Source organism: Homo sapiens, chromosome 10, assembly GCF_000001405.40.
Source record: "Homo sapiens chromosome 10, GRCh38.p14 Primary Assembly".
NCBI lineage: Eukaryota > Metazoa > Chordata > Mammalia > Primates > Hominidae > Homo > Homo sapiens.
The window spans coordinates 94,763,344-94,784,644 of NC_000010.11; the positions used below are offsets into that span (position 1 = coordinate 94,763,344).

Consider the following 21,301-nt stretch of genomic DNA (forward strand, 5'->3'; position numbering starts at 1 on the left):
ATAAGCGGTAGATAAGAAGTTATAGACTTCAATTATTAGATCCACAAACTAATGTTTTAATTAAGCTATAGCTACAATATATAAACCCCAAAATGACCTTAGGGTTTAGTAATAGTAGAAAGAGGGTTAGAAGATGTATAAGCATTACGGTTTTTTCTTGAGTAAAAGATGTTTTAACAGTGTTAATATGATATGTGAATACACCTCATTGTGTAGTTATTAGCATATACAGAGAGTAAAGGGCTGCGATTAGTATATTAAGCCTTATAAGCATGATGGTATGATCAGATCAAGAGAATGAGGCTGTAGTTATGAAGACTACTCCTACTAGATTGATGGTAGGGGGCAGGGCAAGATTGGTGGGGCTAGTTAAGGGTCATCACTTTCAGGGAGAGCAGTGTTTGAAGGCCCCGTGTTATTAGTATGCTTTTGTGTCTGGAACTGGTTCTTTCCAGTGGGTTCTTGGTCTCGCTGACTTCAAGAATGAAGCCACGGACCCTCGTGGTGAGTGCTACAGTTCTTAAAGATATTGTGCCAGAGTTTGTTCCTTCAGATGTTCAGATGCATCTGGAGTTTCTTCCTTCTGCTGGGTTCATGGTCTTGCTGACTTCAGGAGTGAAGCCGCAGACCTTCGCAATGAGTGTTACAGCTCTTAAAGGTGGCATGTCTGGAGTTGTTCATTCCTCCTGGTGGGTTTCTGGTCTCGCTGGCTTCAGGAGTGAAGTTGCAGACCTTTGCGGTGAGTGTTATAGCTCATAAAGGTAGTGTGGACCCAAAGAGTGAGCAGCAGCAAGATTTATTGTGAAGAGCAAAAGAACAAAGCTTCCACAGCATGGAAGGGGACCCAAGAGGGTTGCCGCTGCTGGCTCAGGTGGGCAGCTTTTATTCCCTTATTTGGCCCCACCCATGTCCTGCTGATTGGCCCATTTTACAGAGTGCTGATTTGTCCATTTTGCAGAGTGCTGATTGATCTGTTTTTACAGAGTGCTGATTGGTGTGTTTACAAACCTTTAGCTAGACACAGAGAGCTGATTGGTGCATTTTTACAGTGTTGATTGGTGCATCTGCAAACCTTTAGCTAGACACAGAGCACTGATTGGTGTGTTTACAATCCTTTAGCTAGACAGAAAAGTTCTCCAAGTCCCTACCTGACCCAGAAGCCCAGCCGGCTTCACCTCTCAATCCCCCCTTTAAACAGGACACCCCAACTGCTGTTGGGAATTCGGTGATGACTGCTGTAGCTACTTCCTGCTGGAGAGGGGTGAAGAAGGGGTCCTGCAGTTGTAGTGTCCTCCGGAGGGGAACTCTTTAGGCCAGTGAAAGGGCCAGTGGGTCAGTCCAGGTGTCCTTGGAAGGAGTTGTTAGTTGAGCTCATTTGGGGTTCCATTTGTAAGACCATCTGTAGCTTGATGGCGTTGATCCTAGAGGAAACAAATTTGACAAGGAGGTTAAAAATACAGGGCCTGAAGGTGAGTAATAACAAGATGGCTGCCATGGGACCTAGAAAGGGGAGAAGCCATGTTGCCTAACTCCAGAGGTTGGTATGAGTTTGAAAAGCATTGTCTGATTTCAGAAGCCATTTCCTGTAAACACTGGGTGGCATCTCATACTATTCCTGATTGGTTAGTGTAAAAATTATACTCTTCCCCTAAGAAGGTGCAGAGTCCTCCTTTCTCAGCAGTGAGGAGGTCTAGTCCTCAGTGGTTTTGGAGAGTCACTGTTGCCAAAGAGTCTATTTGGGATTGTAGAGTAAGGATAGATTTTGTTATTTCTTGTAAACTGTCTGAGAAATTCTTTGAGAGTGTGTGGTAGTAGGATAATGAAGTAGATAAACTGGCTATTCTGGTTCCTGTAGCAGTAGCCATTCCTAACCCTATAAGTAGGGATATTAGTTGTATGGCTTTGCACTGATGGAGTTGAGTTTTGAGGGGTACTGATAGGGTCTGATTTCCTGGGGCAATGTTAATGTTGGGACTTAGAAAGACTAAGGTGCAGGTGCCAGTCCAGTTAGTGGGAAGGCAGATATAGGTCGACATTCCACATAAGAAGAATATACCTTGGCTGGGTAGACACAACTGGTTGTGTATGTTAAAAAGGTGTGTGTTTGTTGTTTTCATTTTCCCATACTCCTAGAGTACTTGCCAAGGTAGCTCTGGTGAGTGGCTGGAAAGGGGTGTTGGGAGCAAACTGAGTGGCTCCGTGTGTTCTATTTTCCCATTGGAGAAAAAACCGTTCTGTGTCTACTAGGAACCATTCAAGAGAGTGATTGAAAGGGGATGAGAAAACATTTACTAGTGGTGGGGGAGCTGCTGCAGGGGATCCAGGGGTGAATGGTCATGCAGGGAGTATGTTTGCCATTACAAAGCCTGGACTGTTTGTTAAGCAGGGAGGAGGTGATGATATTTTGGGGCCCTGAGAAGCGGACAATCCATCTGGATAGAGCTGTTTGAGTGACTCAGAAGTTACTATGATCAGTTGGGGCTTGAAGTTGTAGGGTGTAATTACACTGATGGGGTAGTAGGTGCCTCAGGGGCAGGCCTGATAACAGGTTGCATTGCATTCATACAGGGGCTTGGAAAGTTAAGATGGTATTTGTAGTTACAAGGCTGTGTATGGGCTTTTCATTGCTTGTGTAATAGGTGAGGTTGGAAATGTAAGAATGTAAAAGTTGGATTGCACGTCCTGTTAGGGTATTCTTGGTCCTATCAGAGATGGAGAAGTCAGCTAATGATTGCATATTTAGAAGTTGGAAAGGGTCTTTTCCGTCATAATGAAGGTGGTAGGTTAATTTGGTAAAGATCCAGTTTTTTGTGGGAATGGGGGTGGCAACATAAGCAGAGGTTGATAGATACAAAGCCAACAGTCATTTGCCAGGGAAGGATTGGACTGGTTTAACAAAGAGTGGGTTAATCTGAGAGTCTTGTAGAGATAATTAGGAGCTAGTGGAAGGGGAGGGGTGATTGAGGTATCCAAGGAAGCAGGAGGGATAGATAGGCAAAGAATAAATAGGAAGGTAAAGATGGTGCTCTGGAAGATGAGATCATTTTATCCAGGCCGAGTAAAAGGTAGGAGTAAATTGCTGTCAGAAGGAAGGAAGACAGAAAAAAGGTTGATGTGATTAGGATTTTCATCCCAGCAGGAGCTACAGTATATAGTCCTATTGCAAAGAGTATGGTTAATATGCTGCTTAATAATATGATGAAATAGTAAAAGGGTTCCATTAAAGGGGCAAGAAGAGGTGTTAAAGATAAAGATTATGTAGGTTTTCACTTATCTTTTTTAAGGAGGAAGGGGTTTTTCTTCAGGATCGGTGGTAGGAGCCTTTTTAGTCTGGGATGTTTCCTTCTGAAATAAGAGATGCAAGTCCTCCAACAGTTCGCAGGTGTATTGAGGCTGGTCTGGCTGATCTTGGGACTCCTGAGCTGATGGTACTGCAGGTTCCTCAGGGGATGTCCAAAATTTAACTCAGGTGTGGCGAATCCAAGATTCCATTCCTGAACCTTAACAGCAGTGGGGTTAGAGAGGATTACCGAGTATGGTCCTTCCCACAAAGAGGCCATAGATAGGGAGGTAGAGGGGAGAGATTTGATCAACACTAGATCTCCTGGTTGAAACAACTCTGTTCCCTTTTCTCTGTGATATCCTTCAGGTAGGTTTTTAAGGTTTCATTGATATTTTGCCAAAGAAGTTATATCTTTGACCAAGTTGGCCGTTTCCTGATCAAGTAGGAGGTCATTTGTGAAAAAAGGCCATCCATACAGCATTTCATTTGGACTGAGCCCCATTTTGTGAGAATTTCGGATTCTCAACAAGGTCATGGACAAAAGAGTAAAGAGTAGGCCATGGGAAATGAGATTCTTGTGTTAGTTTCCTTAAGTGCCTCTTGACTGTTTTATTTGCCTTCTTGACCTTCCCTGAGGATTGTGGCCTTCAGGTGCTGTGAAGGTGATATTGTATCCCTAGTGCCCTGGAAATTCCCTAAGTTATTATGGCTTTAAAAGCCAGACCATTGTCACTCTGTAAGCTTTGGGGAAGCCAAAATCTAGGAATTATTTCATGAATTAGGACTTTAATCACTTTCTCAGCCTTCTCTGTCTTGCAGGGGAAAGCTTCTATCCAATTTGTAAAGGTATCAACACAGACCAACAAGTATTGAAATCCCTTTGACTTAGGCATATGGGTGAAATCTAACTGCCACTCCTCTCCAGGATAGTGACCTATTCTTTGTTCCCCCCAAAGGGGCCCTATGATGGACCAAGGGATTATTCTTTTGGCACACCTCAGAGGCTTTGACTACCTGTCGGATTGTCCAGAGGAGATTTGGCCCTGTAAATAGGGATTTGGCCATTTGATGAGTGTTTTCAATACCCATATGAAAAGTTTGGAGGAGGGTTTTAAGTATTTTCCACTGGCTGGCTTCAGGTATAAGTACCTGTCCTTCTTCTGTCATTAACCACGCTGAGGGGAGAGAAAACTATGCCCCTGTGAAAGTTCCCATTCTGTTTCAGTCAGGGAATACTGGGGCTTAATCTCTTGGAGGGGTTTGTTCCATACCAAGTGTCCTTCCATAGGTATTTCTAATGGGAGGTTCCACCTGGCAGCAATTTTGGCCTCAGCACCTCCCTGATGGTTTCCTTCTGCCTTTTCTCCTTCACCTTTCTGATGTCTTTGGAAGTGTAAGACTGCCACCACCTTGGGTTTTTGCACTGAGTGCAATAACTCCATAATTCCCTTGTGGTATTTAATGGGGGTTTCTCCAGAGGTTAGGAACTTCCTTTCTTTCCATATTGCAGCATGGGTATGTAGGATTAGATAAGCTACTTGCTATTTGTATACACATTTATTCTTTTTCCCTTTCCCAGTTCTAAGGCTCGGGTAAGTGCCACCAGTTCTGCTAACTGGGCACTGGTCCCTGTGGGAAGAGGCTTACTTTCAAGTACAGTTACACCACTAACTTTGCCATAACCTGCCCTTCATATCCCATTCTCCACAAATGAACTTCCTTCGGTATATAGGTTAAGGTCAGGATTAGCTAAGGGGACTTCTAAGAGGTCATCTCAGGTGGCATAAATCTGGACTATAATTTGTTGGCAGTCATGATACCTTGGTTCCCCATCCTCTGGGAGAAAAGTGGCAGGGTTGGGGGCTATGCCTGTATGTATTTGAAGCACCAGTCCCTCAAGGAGTAGCACCTGATATCTAAGTAGGCAGTTGTCTGATAACCATAAACTTCCTTTGGCACCTAGTATGCCATTTATATCATGAGTAGTCCAGACAGTGAGATCCTTTCCTTGTATTATTTTGATAGCCTCTGACACTAAGACAGCCATCACCACAACTACCCATAAACAGTGAGGCCAGCCTTTTGCTACAACATCAATTTCCTTACTTAGGTATACCACTGGTTGTGGGGTTGTTTCACGAGTCTGAGTAAGGACTCCAAGAGGTATCCCTGCTCTCTCTGTGACGTATAAAGAGTTTTGTCCTGTGGGAAGGCTTAAAGCTGAAGCTTGTACTAGGGCCTGCTTTAAGGTTTTGAAGGCTGTTTCTGCCCCTGGTTCCCATTCTACTAGATGAGTATTTGCCCTCTGGGTTTCCTTGATTAGAGTACAGAGGGGCCTGGCTATCTCACTGTATCCGGGGATCCATAGTTGGCAAAAGTCGGTGATTCCAAGGAATGCCCACAATTGTTTTAATGTCTTAGGGTGAGGATAAGCCAGTATAGGCTGTATTCATTCCTTGCTGAGGGCCCTGGTCCCTCTGGCTAAGATTAGGCCTAGATATTTGACCTGCTGTAGGCAAAGCTGGGCCTTTGACCTAGACGCCTTGTACCCTTGATTAGCTACAAAGTTCAAGAGATCTAGAGTACCCTGCTGGCATGAGGCTTCCGAACTGATAGCTAAAAGTAAATCATCCACGTACTGAAGGAACAGAGTGCCTGGACCTGAGAAGTGGCCTAGATCTTGGGCCAGTACCTGACCAAAGAGATGAGGGCTATCCCTAAACCCTTGGGGCAAGACTGTCCACATAAGTTGGGACGTGTGGTCTGAGGGATCCTCAAAGGCAAAGAGAAAGTGGGAGTCAGAGTGCAGGGGAATACAGAAGAAGGCATCCTTGAGGTCCAGAACAGTGAACTATTCTGCTTCCTCTGGTATTTGACAGAGCAGGGTTTAGGGGTTGGGTACAACTGGATATAGAGGAATTACTGCCTCATTGATGAGTATAAGATCTTGCACTAGTCTCCACAGACTGTTTGGTTTTTGTACTCCTAGAATTGGGGTGTCGCAGGGACTGCTGCATTTCCTTACTGAGGCTTGAGTTTTTAAACGTTTAACAATATCCTGTAATCCTTCATGAGCTTCAGGCCTTAAGGGATATTGCCTTTGATAAGGAAAAGTGGTGGGGTCTTTTAGCCTGATTTGGACTGGGTGGGCATTTTTTGCTCTTCCAAATTGTCCTTCCAGTGCCCAGACTTCAGGGTTAATTCCCTCCTCAAGTAGGGGACAACAAATGGGTAACTTGTTTCTCATATTCATGTAGATAATAGCTCCAGCTTTCACTAATATATCCCTCCTTAATAAGGGTGTGGGACTTTCAGACATAACAAGAAAGGCATGTGAAAAGAGCAAAGTCTCCCAATTACAACTGAGGAGGTGGGAGAAATACCTGGTTACAGGCTGTCCCAGGATTTCTCAGATGGTAACGGACCTTGAGGACCGTCATCCAGGACAGGAGATTAACACTGAGAAGGCCACACCAGTGTCCAGGAGGAAGTCAATTTCCTGGCCCTCAATGGTTAAACATACCCAGGACTCAGTGAGGGTGATGACATGGGCTGGCACTTACCCTGGGCACCCTGAGTCCTGTTGTTGGATCATCTGGTTGGGGGCTTCTGGCCCAGAGAACCATTGCACTCTGGGGAAGTGTGCCTTCCAGTGATTGCCTTGGCATAGCAGACATGGGTGAGGGGGTGGCTTGTTTCTCATTGGACAATCTTTTTTAAAAATGTCCTTGTAAACCACACTGATAACAAGCCCTACTGGGTGATTGGCCTGCTATTTTCTGTCCTCTCTGAACCACCAAGCTTTCTTTGTCTGAGGGCCATGACTAAGGCTGTGACCTTTCTCTGATCTCAGTTTTCCTTTTGGGCCTGTTCCTCTTGGTACCTATTATAGAACACTGAGGTTGCCAGTTTTAATAATGCCTCCAGATTTTGTTCAGGGCCCAGGGCTCACTTTTGGAGCTTTCTCCTGATATCTGCAGCTGATTGGGTAAAAACTTATCTTTTAGGATCAATTGACCTTCTAGTCAGTTGGGTGACAGGGGAGTATATTTTCTTAAGGCCTCCTGTAGCCACTCGAGGAAAGCAGAAGGATTTTCTTCCTTTCCCTGAGTTATGGTGGACATCATTGAATAATTCATGGGCTTTTTCCTAATTCTCCTTACTCCTTCTAGAACACTGGTCAACAGATGTTTATGACTACAGTCCCCATGATCTGAGTCGAGGTCCCAGTGGGGATCCATACTGGGGATGGCTTGCTGACCAGTAGGGAATTTGTCCCTTTCTTCAGCTGTCATTCTATCATTTACTTGACTAAGATACTAGGTCTCTCCAAACTCTCAGGCTGCAGCTAAAGCCACATTCTTTTCATTAAAGGCCAGGGTTTGATCTAACAATAGCATGACATCTCTCCAAGTGAGATCGAAGGTTTGCCCTAGACCCTGTAGGACATCTATGTACCTATCAGGATCATCTGGAAACTTCCCCAGGTCTGCCTTGATCTGCTGTAAATCAGAGAGGGAGAAGCGGCCATGTACCCAGGTTGGGCCAAATTTACCTCCCCCTACAGCTTGAAGGGGGCATAACTGATAGCCCGGGGTTTTTTGTGGTCCTTTGGAGATTTCTTTGCTTATTTCCTTCTGGGAAGGGGAGATTAGAGGAGGCTTATCATTAATAGGAAGTGGAACTATAGGTAGGCTAGGATACGGGGGTAAGCTGAAAAGTCCTCCTGTGGGATGTAAATTGCAAGCTTTGCATAGTTGTGTATTCTTCTTCAATGAAAAGAAAGCTTGGATATAAGGTATTTCACTCCATTTGGCTTTCCTCTTACAGAAATGGTCAAGTTGCAGGATAGCATTGTAATTTATACTTCCCTCAGTTGGCCATTTTTCCCCATCAGAGAGAGAATAGTGGGGCCAGGCCATAGTGCAGAAAAAAATGAGCCACCTCTTTTTCAGGGTTTGTGAGTCAAATTGGTCCCAATGGCTTAGGATGCATTTCAAGGGTGAGCCTGTTGATGCCTGATTGTCTCTCATCGGAAAGACAAAACTCTCCATGGTTTTGGTTTGTTTGTTTCTACCTGCCCAGGAACCTGCAACAGTCCCTGGACCCTGCTGATCAGAATAGTTGCACTCACTGATGCAGCAGCAGAAACACCTCTTGCCCAAGAACCCAAAACAGTCCCTGGACCTTGCTGATCAGAATAGTTGCACTCACCGACACAGCAGCAGAAACACTAGTTTTCCTCCTAGACCAGAAGGAGGACTGAGGAAGGTCGGATTTAGTGGCCCTTACCAATGCATTCTTGAAAACGTGTACCCCTGCCTGTCCTCGTAGACCACAAAGAGGACTGAGAAAAATCAGATTTAGTTGCCCTTACCAATGCATTCTCAAAAACCTGTTAGAGTCCTAAGTGTTCTCCTGTTAGTATTGGGACTTTACCTGTGTCCTATGAAGATGTTATGCCCCAAAAATGAAATGGAGGGCCATACCCTGAGGGAGGGAAGGGATCTCCAGAGTTGGAAGTGTGATGCCTTTTGTCCTCATTTATATGAACAGGAAGGATAGAATTTCTGAGGATCCCCATATCCTAGCTTCAGGAATAGTTTTTGTTAGGCCTGCTTGTCTGAGGAGGGATTCTAAAATTCCAGATAGTACCCCCTAAAATGGGGCTTTGGGCAAAAATTATGTCTTTCTGATTGGTGAGCCCGGGTGCCTAAAGAAGGTAACAGAGTCCTGGAGTTTATACTAGAAATCATTCATGTAGGAGAAACTAGAAAAGCACCAGAGACAGGCAGTGGTTTTTAGAAGCGGGACTAGCCTTGGAGAAGAGAGGCAAGAGGAAGTTTGTCTGGCAGGCATTAGGACCCAGGAGGCAAGGGTCAGGATAGCTAGGATAGATAGGCAAGTCTCTCTTGGGTGACATGACTTTGAGAGTTCTGCTCATGGCCACAGGGTCAACCAACTTGTTGTCGGGACCCCGGAGCTGAATGGCTTTCCTCTCTGTCAACCCTTGGCGCAGCCCAGAAATACAGGAAAAGTGGAAGCTGGTTCCAGGCAAACCAACGCTCCCAACTCCAAAGAGTTGGGGATTGTTAGAGAGCCCTTTCCCAGAAAGCCTGACACCCCTGTCTTTAGTCTGGTGGCCACATTGGTCACTTTTTGTTTTGAGACGGAGTCTCGCTCTGTCGCCCAGGCCGGACTGCGGACTGCAGTGGCGCAACCTTGGCTCGCTGCAAGCTCCGCTTCCTGGGTTCATGCCATTCTCCTGCCTCAGCCTCCCGAGTAGCTGGGACTACAGGCGCCCGCCACCGCGCCCGGCTAATTTTTTGTATTTTTAGTAGAGACGGGGTTTCACCTTGTTAGCCAGGATGGTCTCGATCTGCTGACCTCATGATCCACCCGCCTCGGCCTCCCAAAGTGCTGGGATTACAGGCGTGAGCCACCGCACCCGGCCATTGGTCACTTTTAACTGGCTGACAGGTGCCCAGTATTTAGCCCCTGAATTCTAAGGAAAAATAGGACAGAACAGCAAGTGAAAGGGATCCAGTGGTACTTACTGCTTGGCAATAGGCAAAAGTCCCTTCATTGTCACCAAAATGTGTCCAGAATTGGTTCCTTCCGGTGGGTTCTTGGTCTCACTGACTTCAAGAATGAAGCTGCGGACCCACATGGTGAGTGTTACAGTTCTTAAAGATGGTGTGTCTGGAGTTTGTTCCTTCAGATGTTCAGATGTGGCCAGAGTTTCTTCCTTCTGGTGGGTTCATGGTCTTGCTGACTTCAAGGGTGAAGCTGCAGACCTTCACAGTGAATATTACAGCTGTTAAAGATGGCACATCCAGAGTTGTTCATTCCTCCTGGTGGGTTCATGGTCTTGCTGACTTCAGGAGTGAAGCCACAGACCTTCTCAGTGAGTGTTACTGCTCTTAAAGGTGGTGTGTCGAGTTGTTCATTCCTCCTGGTGGGTTTGTGGTCTTGCTGGCTTCAGGAGTGAAGCTGCAGACCTTTGCAGTGAGTGTTACAGCTCTTAAAGGTGGCATATCTGGAGTTGTTCGTTCCTCCTGGTGGGTTTGTGGTCTTGCTGGCTTTGGGAGAAAAGCTACAGACCTTTGCAGTGAGTGTTACAGCTCATAAAGGTAGTGAAGACCCAAAGAGTGAGCAGCAGCAAGATTTATTGTGAAGAGTGAAAGAACAAAACTTCCACAATATGGAAGGGGACCTGAGCAGGTTGCCACTGCTGGCTTGGGTGGCCAGCTTTTATTCCCTTATTTGCCCCACCCATGTCCTGCTGATTGGTCCATTTTACAGAGTGCTGATTGTTCCATTTTACAGAGTGCTGATTGGTGTGTTTACAAACTTTTAGCTAGACACAGAGCATTGATTGGTACATTTTTACAGAGTGCTGATTGGTGCATTTACAAACCTTTAGCTAGATACAGAGCACTAATTGGTGTGTTTACAAACCTTTAGCTAGAGAGAAAAGTTCTCCAAGTCCCCACCCGACACAGAAGCCCAGATGGCTTCACCTCTCAGTTTAGTTGTGTACTTGTTTGTAGTTGGAATTTGCAAGGCAGAATAATAGGGATGAGGTTAGTCCATGGGTAATTATTAGGGCAGTTGCACCGGTAAAACTTCAGGGGGTTTTAATGAGAATAGCCATGATAATAAGTGACATGTGGCTTATGGAGGAATAAGTAATGAGTGATTTTAGATCAGTTTGGCACAGAAAAATTGAGCTTGTTATGATTATTCCTCATAGGGATAGTATGAGGGAGGAATAAGCTATAAACTCTGTTAAGGGGTTAAGGATTAGGGTGATTCTTATAATCCCATAGCCACCTAATTTTAGGAGTACTGCTGTGGAGACTATTGGCCCAGCAATCGGGACCTCTACATGGGCTTTTGGGAGTTCTAGGTGGATTCCATAGAGAGGTGCTTTTACTATAAATGCTATGATGCATGCTAATCATAAAAGACTGTTGGACCAGGAAATTGTTAGTTCTTGAAGCTGGGTATTTGTCTTAAGGTAGACACAAGAGTGCTGATAAATTTCTCAAGCATGAGTGTTTGAATAAGTGAAGTTTCAAATTTGGGTCTTCTGTATATTAGCTGTGGGACACTGAAAATGAATTTGTCATTCTCTTAGCTCAGTTTGTTTGTTTAAAATAGAGCAAATAGACCTGCTGAATATGTTGGTGTGAGGGTTAATTGTAATCTGTGTAGCAATTGTCTGACCATTGCCTTGAACATCATAGGCCATCTGAGTGGCAAGTATAATAATCATCATCATGTTTATATATAAAATTCAGAAATATTTGAGCCTGTGTGACTGAATAAAAGCATACAAATACAATGAAAATATGAATCTAAGTCAGGCTTAGTAAATGGACAAAACAGTGACTTCATTTGCTGTTAACTGTATCTCCTTTTCTAGCTCTCAAAAATCTATGGCCCTGTGTTCACTCTGTATTTTGGCCTGGAACGCATGGTGGTGCTGCATGGATATGAAGTGGTGAAGGAAGCCCTGATTGATCTTGGAGAGGAGTTTTCTGGAAGAGGCCATTTCCCACTGGCTGAAAGAGCTAACAGAGGATTTGGTAGGTGTGCAAGTGCCTGTTTCAGCATCTGTCTTGGGGATGGGGAGGATGGAAAACAGACTAGCAGAGCTTCTCGGGCAGAGCTTGGCCCATCCACATGGCTGCCCAGTGTCAGCTTCCTCTTTCTTGCCTGGGATCTCCCTCCTAGTTTCGTTTCTCTTCCTGTTAGGAATCGTTTTCAGCAATGGAAAGAGATGGAAGGAGATCCGGCGTTTCTCCCTCATGACGCTGCGGAATTTTGGGATGGGGAAGAGGAGCATTGAGGACCGTGTTCAAGAGGAAGCCCGCTGCCTTGTGGAGGAGTTGAGAAAAACCAAGGGTGGGTGAACATACTCTCTATCACTGACCTTTCTGGACTGCTCTCCTCTCTACTGACATTCTTGGAAACATTTCAGGGGTGGCCAGATCTTTTATTTGGAGTCCTGGTTGTTAGCTCATGTGAAGCAGGGTTTGAAGCTGAGAGCCAAGGGAATTTGCACATGTTTGTGCTGTGTGTGTACAGGCATGATTGTGCATACAGTGTGGGTATAAAAGTTCATTTAATCCTATGTTCTCCTGAACTTTGCTTCTTTGTTTTCAAATAAGAAATGATGAATATAGATTTTGAGTTCATTTTTTGAAAGAGTTAAAGAGCAGTGTTTTTCCCATTATCTATTCCAGAACATGTCACCAGAGAATACTTGACAAGTGGACATGGTGGAAATGGCCCTATCACACCCCTAGGGAGCATGAACCAAATGGCATGTGCTTTTATTTAATTGGACTATGTTTGTATGGTCAGCCTCACTGACTTGTCTAGGGTTTCTTTTAGGCCCATGCTTGCCATTCTGGCCAGTAATGACATTCTACAGTTTTTATTGCTTAGGCATATCTTAGTGTAGTTCTCATCAGCTTTTATTTCTCTGTAAATACAGCATTATTTAAAAAATAGTGTTAATTATTTCTTGTTACTCTATTGATTTTGAGTAAACATATGCTATGACATAATTCTGTGAAATACACAAATGTCTATTTATAAAATAATTTATTTAACTAGATTTTAATTATTAGTAATAACTGTAATTTTTATTCCTTAAGTATAATTTGGCTCTGTTTCATTTTGCTTATCTCTTTCCAATCATATTTATGAAATTTTGGCTTAGAAATTTATGGTAATTATTATTTTCCACTGCCAACTCTACTCACCTATGAAGTTTTACAATGAATCAGTTTATCAGCTTGGATACCAAATTACCTCATTTTTAAATTCTGTTTTCCAAATGAAGTGAAAGACTGAAAATCAGATTTATCTGTGAATGATACACACACACTCAACAGACTTCCAGCTGTTCAATGCCTTGCTATTCATTCAGAGTACTTTTGACTAAAGTCACTATTTAGGGCCTATAGGTGTGAATTTGGAAGCTCTTTAAATATAAAGTTTAATATTTCAAAATAATAAGAGCTATTTATGAAAAACCCATAGCCAATATCATATTTAATGGGCAAAATCTGGAAGTATTCCCTTTGAAAACCAGAGCAAGACAAAGATGCCCTCTCTCACCACTCCTATTCAACATAGCTTTGGAAGTTCTCACCAGGGCAATCAGGCAAGAGAAAGAAATAAATGGTATTGAAATAGGATGAGAGGAAGTCAAATTGTCTCTGTTTACAGATGACATGATTGTATATTTAGAAAACCCCATTGTCTCATCCCCAAAACTGTTCATGCTAATAAGCAAATTCAGCAACGTCTCAGGATACAAATTCAATGTGCAAAAATCACAAGCATTCCTATACACCAATAATAGACAAGCAGACAGTCAAATAATGAGTGAACTCCCATTCACAATTGCTACAAAGAGAATAAAATGGCTAGAAATACAACTTAAAAGGGATGTGAAAGACCTCTTCAAGGAGAGCTACAAACCACTGCTCAGGGAATTAAGAGATTACAAAAACAAATGGAAAAACGTTCCATGCTCATGAATAGTAAGAATCAATATTGTGAAAATGGCCATATTGCCAAAAGTAATTTATAGGTTCAATGCTATTCCCATCAAGCTGCCATTGAGTTTCTTCACAGAACTAGAAAAAACTACTTTAAATTTCATATGGAACCAAAAAAGAGCTTGTAAAGCCAAGACAATCCTAAGCAAAAAGAACAAAGCTGGAGGCATCATGCTACCTGACTTCAAACTATACTACAAGGCTACAGTAGCCAAAACAGCATGGTACTGATACCAAAACAGATATATAGAACAATGGAACAGAACAGAGACCTCAGAAATAATGCCACACATCTACAACCATCTGATCTTCAACAAACCTGACAAAAACAAGCAATGGGAAAAAGATTCCCTATTTAATAAATGGTGTTGGACAAACTGTCTAGCCATATGCAGAAAACAGAAACTGGATCCCTTCCTTTCATCTTATAAAAAAATTAACTCAAGATGGATTGAAGACTTAAACATAAAACCTAAAACTATAAAAACCCTAGAGAAAAACCCAGGTAATACCATTCAGGACATAAGCATGGGCAAAGACTTCATGACTAAAACACCAAAAGCAATGGCAACAAAAGCCAAAATTGACAAATGGTAAACTAAAGAGCTTCTGCATAGCAAAGGAAACTATCATAAGAGTGAACAGGCAACCTACAGAATGGAAGAAAATTTTTGCAATCTGTCCATTTGACTAAGGTCTAATATCCAGAATCCACAAGGAACTTAAACAAATTTACAAGAAAAAAAGAAAACAACAACAACAAAAAAAAACTGCTGGGTCTGTCCTGCAGACCCTGGCCAATGGATGAAATGAGTACTCATATACAGGTATGAGGTGTAAGAGCAGCTAGGGGACTGTCTGGCTCAAGTGGCCAGAGTGTAGCCTCGAGAAGCTGGAGCTGCATGTTTTTATTCAGTGCAGGCACAATGCTGAAAACCTGGAGCCCATGCAATCTGTAGGTAATTAATATTTATTGTTCCCCTTTCAGGGAACATCAAGAATGGATGATCAAAGGTCAGTTCCTGGTCAACATAAGTAAACAAGCCTGTTCAAGATGACTTCCCCTTCCCTCCCTTGTACATACTCCTCGTCCTCTCCCTCACGGTCAGAGAACAGCTGCGTTCAGCTATTCTCACCTGAAACTATGCAGAGCCTTCCGACCTTTCAGAAGGCCTGCTCCTTTCCCTATACTTTCTCCCACCACTCTGATGGATCTCCTACAAACAACCCCATCAAAAAGTAGGTGAAGGATATCAACAGACACTTCTCAAAAGAAGACATTTATGTGGCCAACAAACATATGAAAAAAAGCTCATCACTGGTCATTAGAGAATGCAAATCAAAACCACAATGAGGTAAAATCTCATGCCAGTTAGAATGGTGATCATTAATAAGTTAGGAAACAAGAGATGCTGGTGAGAATGTGGAGAAATAGGAAAGCTTTTACACTGTTGGTGGAAGTGTAAATTATTTCAACCACTGTGGAAGACAGTGTGGCGATTCCTCAATGCTAGAACCAGAAATTCCATTTGATCTAGCAATCCCATTACTGGGTATATACCCAAAGGGCTATAAACCATTCTACTATAAAGATACATACAAACGTATGTTTATTGCAGCACTATTTACAATAGCAAAGACTTGGAACCAACCCAAATGCCCATCAATGACACACTGGATAAAGAAAATGTGGCACATATACACTGTGGACTACTATGCAGCCATTAAAAAGAATGAGTTCATGTCCTTTGCAGGGACATGGATGAAGCTGGAAACCACCATCCTCAGCAAACTAACAGAGGAACAGAAAACCAAACACTGCATGTTCTCACTTATAAGTGGGAGTTGAAAAATGAGAACACATGGACACAGGAAGGGTAACATCACACACCAGGGCCTGTTGAGGGGTTGGGGGGCAAGGGGAGGGAAAGCATTAGGACAAATACCTAATGCATGTGGAGCTTAAAACCTAGATGACAGGTTCATAGATGCAGCAAACCACCATGGCACATGTATACCTATGTAACAAATCTGCACAATTCTGCACACGTGTCCCAGAACTTAAAGTAAAATTAAAAATTAAAAAATATAAAGTTTAACAATCACTTGATTACAACAACTTTATTTCAGAGATCCTCCACCAAACAAGAAAACCTTTTGTATAATTTAATTTATTTAGCTATTAAATGATAGACTTGGTCTAATCAATGTCAAATTTCAAATAAGTTAAATTTGAAGGATGATTAGAGATGATGGGCATTTAATTCCTAGAGAAGAAAATTCATTTTTAAAAAACTAAAGAAGAAACTAAAAACTCCATTTATTAATTTACTTTTTTTCCTTTTTCTTTTCTTTTCTTTTTTTTTTTTTGAGTTGGAGTCTCACTCTTTTGCCAGGCTGAAGTGCACTTGTGTGATATCAGCTCACTGCAACCTCTGCCTCCTGGATTCAAGTGATTCTCCTGCCTCAGCCTCCCAAGTAGCTGGGATTACAGGCACCCACCACCACACTCGACTAATTTTTGCATCCTTAGCAGAGATGGGGTTCACCATGTTGGCCAGGCTGGTCTTGAACTCCTGACCTCAGGTGATCCACCTGCCTTGGCCTCCCAAAGTGCTGGGATTACAGGCATGAGCCAGTGTGCCCTATCTAATTTACTTTTCCTTGTTTGCCTTATCTGGGATTTACATTTCAAATAACAAGTTTTTGTTTAATTTTTTTGACAAACTAATCTATGTTAGACATTCTATTCATTTATGTTTGTATTTGTTCTCATAAAACACATTCTGCTTCTTACATTTATTTTCTCAAATACATGAATTCACCCCTAGTCTCTCTAGTTCCTCTCTACTGGTTCAATACATGATTCTTTGAGCTATTTGTTGTAATATAAAAAGCTTTGAAATCCCCAACTATTCTCACCCTTTCTATCTCAGTGCTTTGTTGTCTACAGACTTTGCAGACTGATGTGATTCCCTCTGAAACTTGAATTATTTGGTTTCTAAAAAAGTCTCTTTTTTTCTTTCCAAAGTAAAAGACAAATAGGCCGGGAATGTAAATTTAGCATTTGAGCAACCATTATTTAACCAGCTAGGCTGTAATTGTTAATTCGAGATTAATGTAAAAGTGATGTGTTGATTTTATGCATGCCAAACTCTTTTTTGCTTTTAAGGGAATTCATAGGTAAGATATTACTTAAAATTTCTAAACTATTATTATCTGTTAACAAATATGAAGTGTTTTATATCTAATGTTTACTCATATTTTAAAATTGTTTCCAATCATTTAGCTTCACCCTGTGATCCCACTTTCATCCTGGGCTGTGCTCCCTGCAATGTGATCTGCTCCATTATTTTCCAGAAACGTTTCGATTATAAAGATCAGCAATTTCTTAACTTGATGGAAAAATTGAATGAAAACATCAGGATTGTAAGCACCCCCTGGATCCAGGTAAGGCCAAGTTTTTTGCTTCCTGAGAAACCACTTACAGTCTTTTTTTCTGGGAAATCCAAAATTCTATATTGACCAAGCCCTGAAGTACATTTTTGAATACTACAGTCTTGCCTAGACAGCCATGGGGTGAATATCTGGAAAAGATGGCAAAGTTCTTTATTTTATGCACAGGAAATGAATATCCCAATATAGATCAGGCTTCTAAGCCCATTAGCTCCCTGATCAGTGTTTTTTCCACTAAACTCCAAAGCCCTGTTTCTATAAAGTACTTTGGTGACAGCCCCAAAGCGTGCTTATATCACTCCATGGACATCCAGGCACTTTGGAGTCTTCCATTACTCACAAGGCTTGTCCTTCAATTCACACTTTGTCATATTGTGTGACAGAAATATCCTAATCTAAAAGACATTATCTCCTTCAAGGACAGAGAATATTTGGAACCACAGAAGCTGCCAAGAAACACTGAATAGGGCAGAGGTGTTTGATGTCTCAGTTGGGATTCTAGCTGATGAGACAGCTGGTTAGGAATGAAAAAATTATTGTTTTTTTGGTGTATGAACCATAAACAGACATCACACTTTTACCCTGTGCTGAATTGGCATGTTTTATACTCTGCCTAAATAATAATTGTATGATTTTACAGAAGTCATTTAACTGCTCTGGTGCACAGTTGGAATTTGAAGTATCTTTGAGCCCCTCCCACTTCTAAAATACTAATTCAATTTCAGAGGCTGCTTGATAGAAATCAATATAGCAGGGACTATCTTTGTAGTATCAATCAGGTTGTGCAAACTCTTTTAACCTATGCTATCATCTCCAAAATGTTAATGTAGTAATTCATACCATCTTATATTTCAAGATTGTAGAGAAGAATTGTTGTAAAAAGTAAGAGAATTAATATAAAGATGCTTTTATACTATCAAAAGCAGGTATAAGTCTAGGAAATGATTATCATCTTTGATTCTCTTGTCAGAATTTTCTTTCTCAAATCTTGTATAATCAGAGAATTACTACACATGTACAATAAAAATTTCCCCATCAAGATATACAATATATTTTATTTATATTTATAGTTTTAAATTACAACCAGAGCTTGGCATATTGTATCTATACCTTTATTAAATGCTTTTAATTTAATAAATTATTGTTTTCTCTTAGATATGCAATAATTTTCCCACTATCATTGATTATTTCCCGGGAACCCATAACAAATTACTTAAAAACCTTGCTTTTATGGAAAGTGATATTTTGGAGAAAGTAAAAGAACACCAAGAATCGATGGACATCAACAACCCTCGGGACTTTATTGATTGCTTCCTGATCAAAATGGAGAAGGTAAAATGTTAACAAAAGCTTAGTTATGTGACTGCTTGCGTATTTGTGATTCATTGACTAGTTTTGTGTTTACTACGGATGTTTAACAGGTCAAGGAGTAATGCTTGAGAAGCATATTTAAGTTTTTATTGTATGCATGAATATCCAGTAAGCATCATAGAAAATGTAAAATTAAATTGTTAAATAATTAGAATACATAGAAGAAATTGTTTAGATAAATATAATCTATCTGAACAATAAGGATGTCAGGATAGGAAAAGCTCTGTTCTGCAGCTTCCAGTGAGATCAGCACAGGAGGAACTTAAATTTAAAAGAAAATAAAAAACATCTCCATCAAAAAGTGAGTGAAGGATATGAACAGACACTTTTCAAAAGAAGTCATTGGAGAAATGCAAATAAAAACAACAATGAGATACCATCTCATGCCAGTTAGAATGGCGATCATTAAAAAGTCAGGATATAACAGATGCTGAAGAGGATGTGGAAAAATAGAAATGTTTTTACTCTGTTTGTGGGAGCGTAAATTAGTTCAATCATTGTGGAAGGCAGTGTGGCAATTCCTCAAGGATCTAGAACTAGAAATACCATTTGACCCAGCAATCCAATTACTGGATATATATCCAAAGGATTATAAATTATTCTATTATAAAGACACATGTACACATTTGTTTATTGTGCCACTATTCACAATAGCCAAGACTTGGAATCAACCCAAATGTACATCAATGACAGACTGGATTAAGAAAATGTGGCACATATACACCATAAAATACTATGGAGGCATAAAAAAGATGAATTCATGTCCTCTGCAGGGACATAGATGAAGCTGGAAGCCCCCACTCTCAGTAAACTAACACAGGAACAGAAAACCAAACACCGTATGTTCTCACTCATAAGTGGCAGTTGAACAATGAGAACACATAGACACAGGATGAGGAACATCACACACTGGGGCCTGTCAAGGGGTGGAGGGCTTGGGGAGGGATAACATTAAGAGAAATACCTAATGTAGATGACAAGTTCATAGGTGCAGGAGACCACCATGGCACGTGTGTACCTATTTAACAATCCTGCACGTTCTGCACATGTATCCCAGAACTTAAAGTATAATAATAATAACAATAACAAAAATCTACCCAAGGGGAAACAAAATGCAGGTTTTAGGTGAAATGGAAGCAATTATGAACAAGTTAGAAAATATAAAATATTATGTCATAGGATGAAAATGGGCATCATTATTGCACACAGTTTATTGGAGAATGGGAAAGAATGGTTTAACCTAGGTGGGTTTCCTGCATTCCTGCAGATTGAAATAGGCCTTAAAATATTTGCAGTGAGAGTCAGAAGAGGGGTTTCAGATGGGTTGGAATGCTTTACATGGAGGTGTAGAGGTGTGTGATGGAAAAGAGTAGGTGGATGGAAGAGGGAAGGCTTCATTGAGTGTAAACTAAAATGATTTGTACAGATAAGAATTGGAATTTGGTATCTATCAGATACCGTGTAAACATCACCTCTTTTGTCATTGCACCATTTTTGAAGAGGCTATTTTTTCCTCCTATTGAATTGTCTTGACAACCTTGTCAAAACCCAATTGACTATAAATGTGTGAAGGGTTTTTTTTGGGGGGCTCTCAATTCTACTCCATTGATCTATGTGTCTGTCCTAATGCCTATAGTACACCATCTTGAAGTCTTAATTACTGTACCTTTGTATTAATATCAACTTATTAAATCAAGGAGTGTGAGTCTTTTGTTGTTCTTTTTCAATACTGTTTTCACTATTCTGGGTCCCTTGAATCTTCATATGAAATTTAGGATCAACTTGTCAATTTCTTCAAAGGAGCCAATGGGAATTTTGACAGGATTGCATTAAATCTGTAGAACAGGGAGTTATGCCATTTTAAAAATTGAAGTAAAATTCACACAACATACAATTAACCAGTTTAAAGCATACACCTAAGTGGTATTTAATGTATTCACAATGTTGTGCAACCATCAGCTTTCTCTGGTTTCAAAATGTTTTTATCACGCCACAAAAACGTATTATATTCGCTAAATAATCACTCCATTCCCCCACTCCATCATGTAATAACCTCTAATCTTTTTTCTGTCTCTATGGGTTTGCGTGTTATGGATATATAAAGAATTCATAGCATATGCAACCTTTTATTTCTGGGTCCTTACACTTACAATGTTTTGGAGGCTCATCTAAGTTGTAGCATATATCTGTACTTCATTCTTTTTGTGGATAAAGTATATTTTATTTTCTATGCACATTTATCACAAATTGTTATTCATCTGTTTGTGGACATTTGCATTGTTTCCAACTTTTGGCTCTTATAGATAATCTTTCTTTAACCATTTGTGTATGTTTCTTTATGGGCATGTTTTCATCATTCTTGGGTGTATTCTCAGGAGTTGATTTGCTGGGTCAAATGGTAATTTTATGTTTATCTTCTTGTATAAGAGCCAAATTTTTCTACAGTGAATGTGGCATTTTATATTCCTTCCAGCAATGTAGAAGGATTTCTGTTTCTCCACATAGTTGCTAATACTTGTAATTTTCTGTGTTTATTAAAGCCCTCCTAGTGAATGTAAAGTGGTATCTCATTATTTATTTATTTATTTATTTATTTTGAGACAGAGTC

At 41.1% G+C, this 21,301-nt stretch overlaps 1 protein-coding gene and 1 pseudogene across 1 annotated transcript in view; one reads left to right on the forward strand and one right to left on the reverse strand.

Moving 5' to 3' along the window:
* Positions 1-21,301, forward strand: part of CYP2C19 (cytochrome P450 family 2 subfamily C member 19) — a 92,867-nt gene that overhangs the window by 663 nt on the left and 70,903 nt on the right. Inside the window, exons 2-5 of the mRNA NM_000769.4 lie at positions 11,715-11,877; positions 12,047-12,196; positions 17,156-17,316; positions 18,478-18,654. Of these exons, the coding sequence (NP_000760.1) occupies positions 11,715-11,877; positions 12,047-12,196; positions 17,156-17,316; positions 18,478-18,654 (651 nt within the window). The remainder of the gene's footprint in view (positions 1-11,714; positions 11,878-12,046; positions 12,197-17,155; positions 17,317-18,477; positions 18,655-21,301) is intronic.
* Positions 83-11,285, reverse strand: MTND4P19 (MT-ND4 pseudogene 19; annotated as a pseudogene).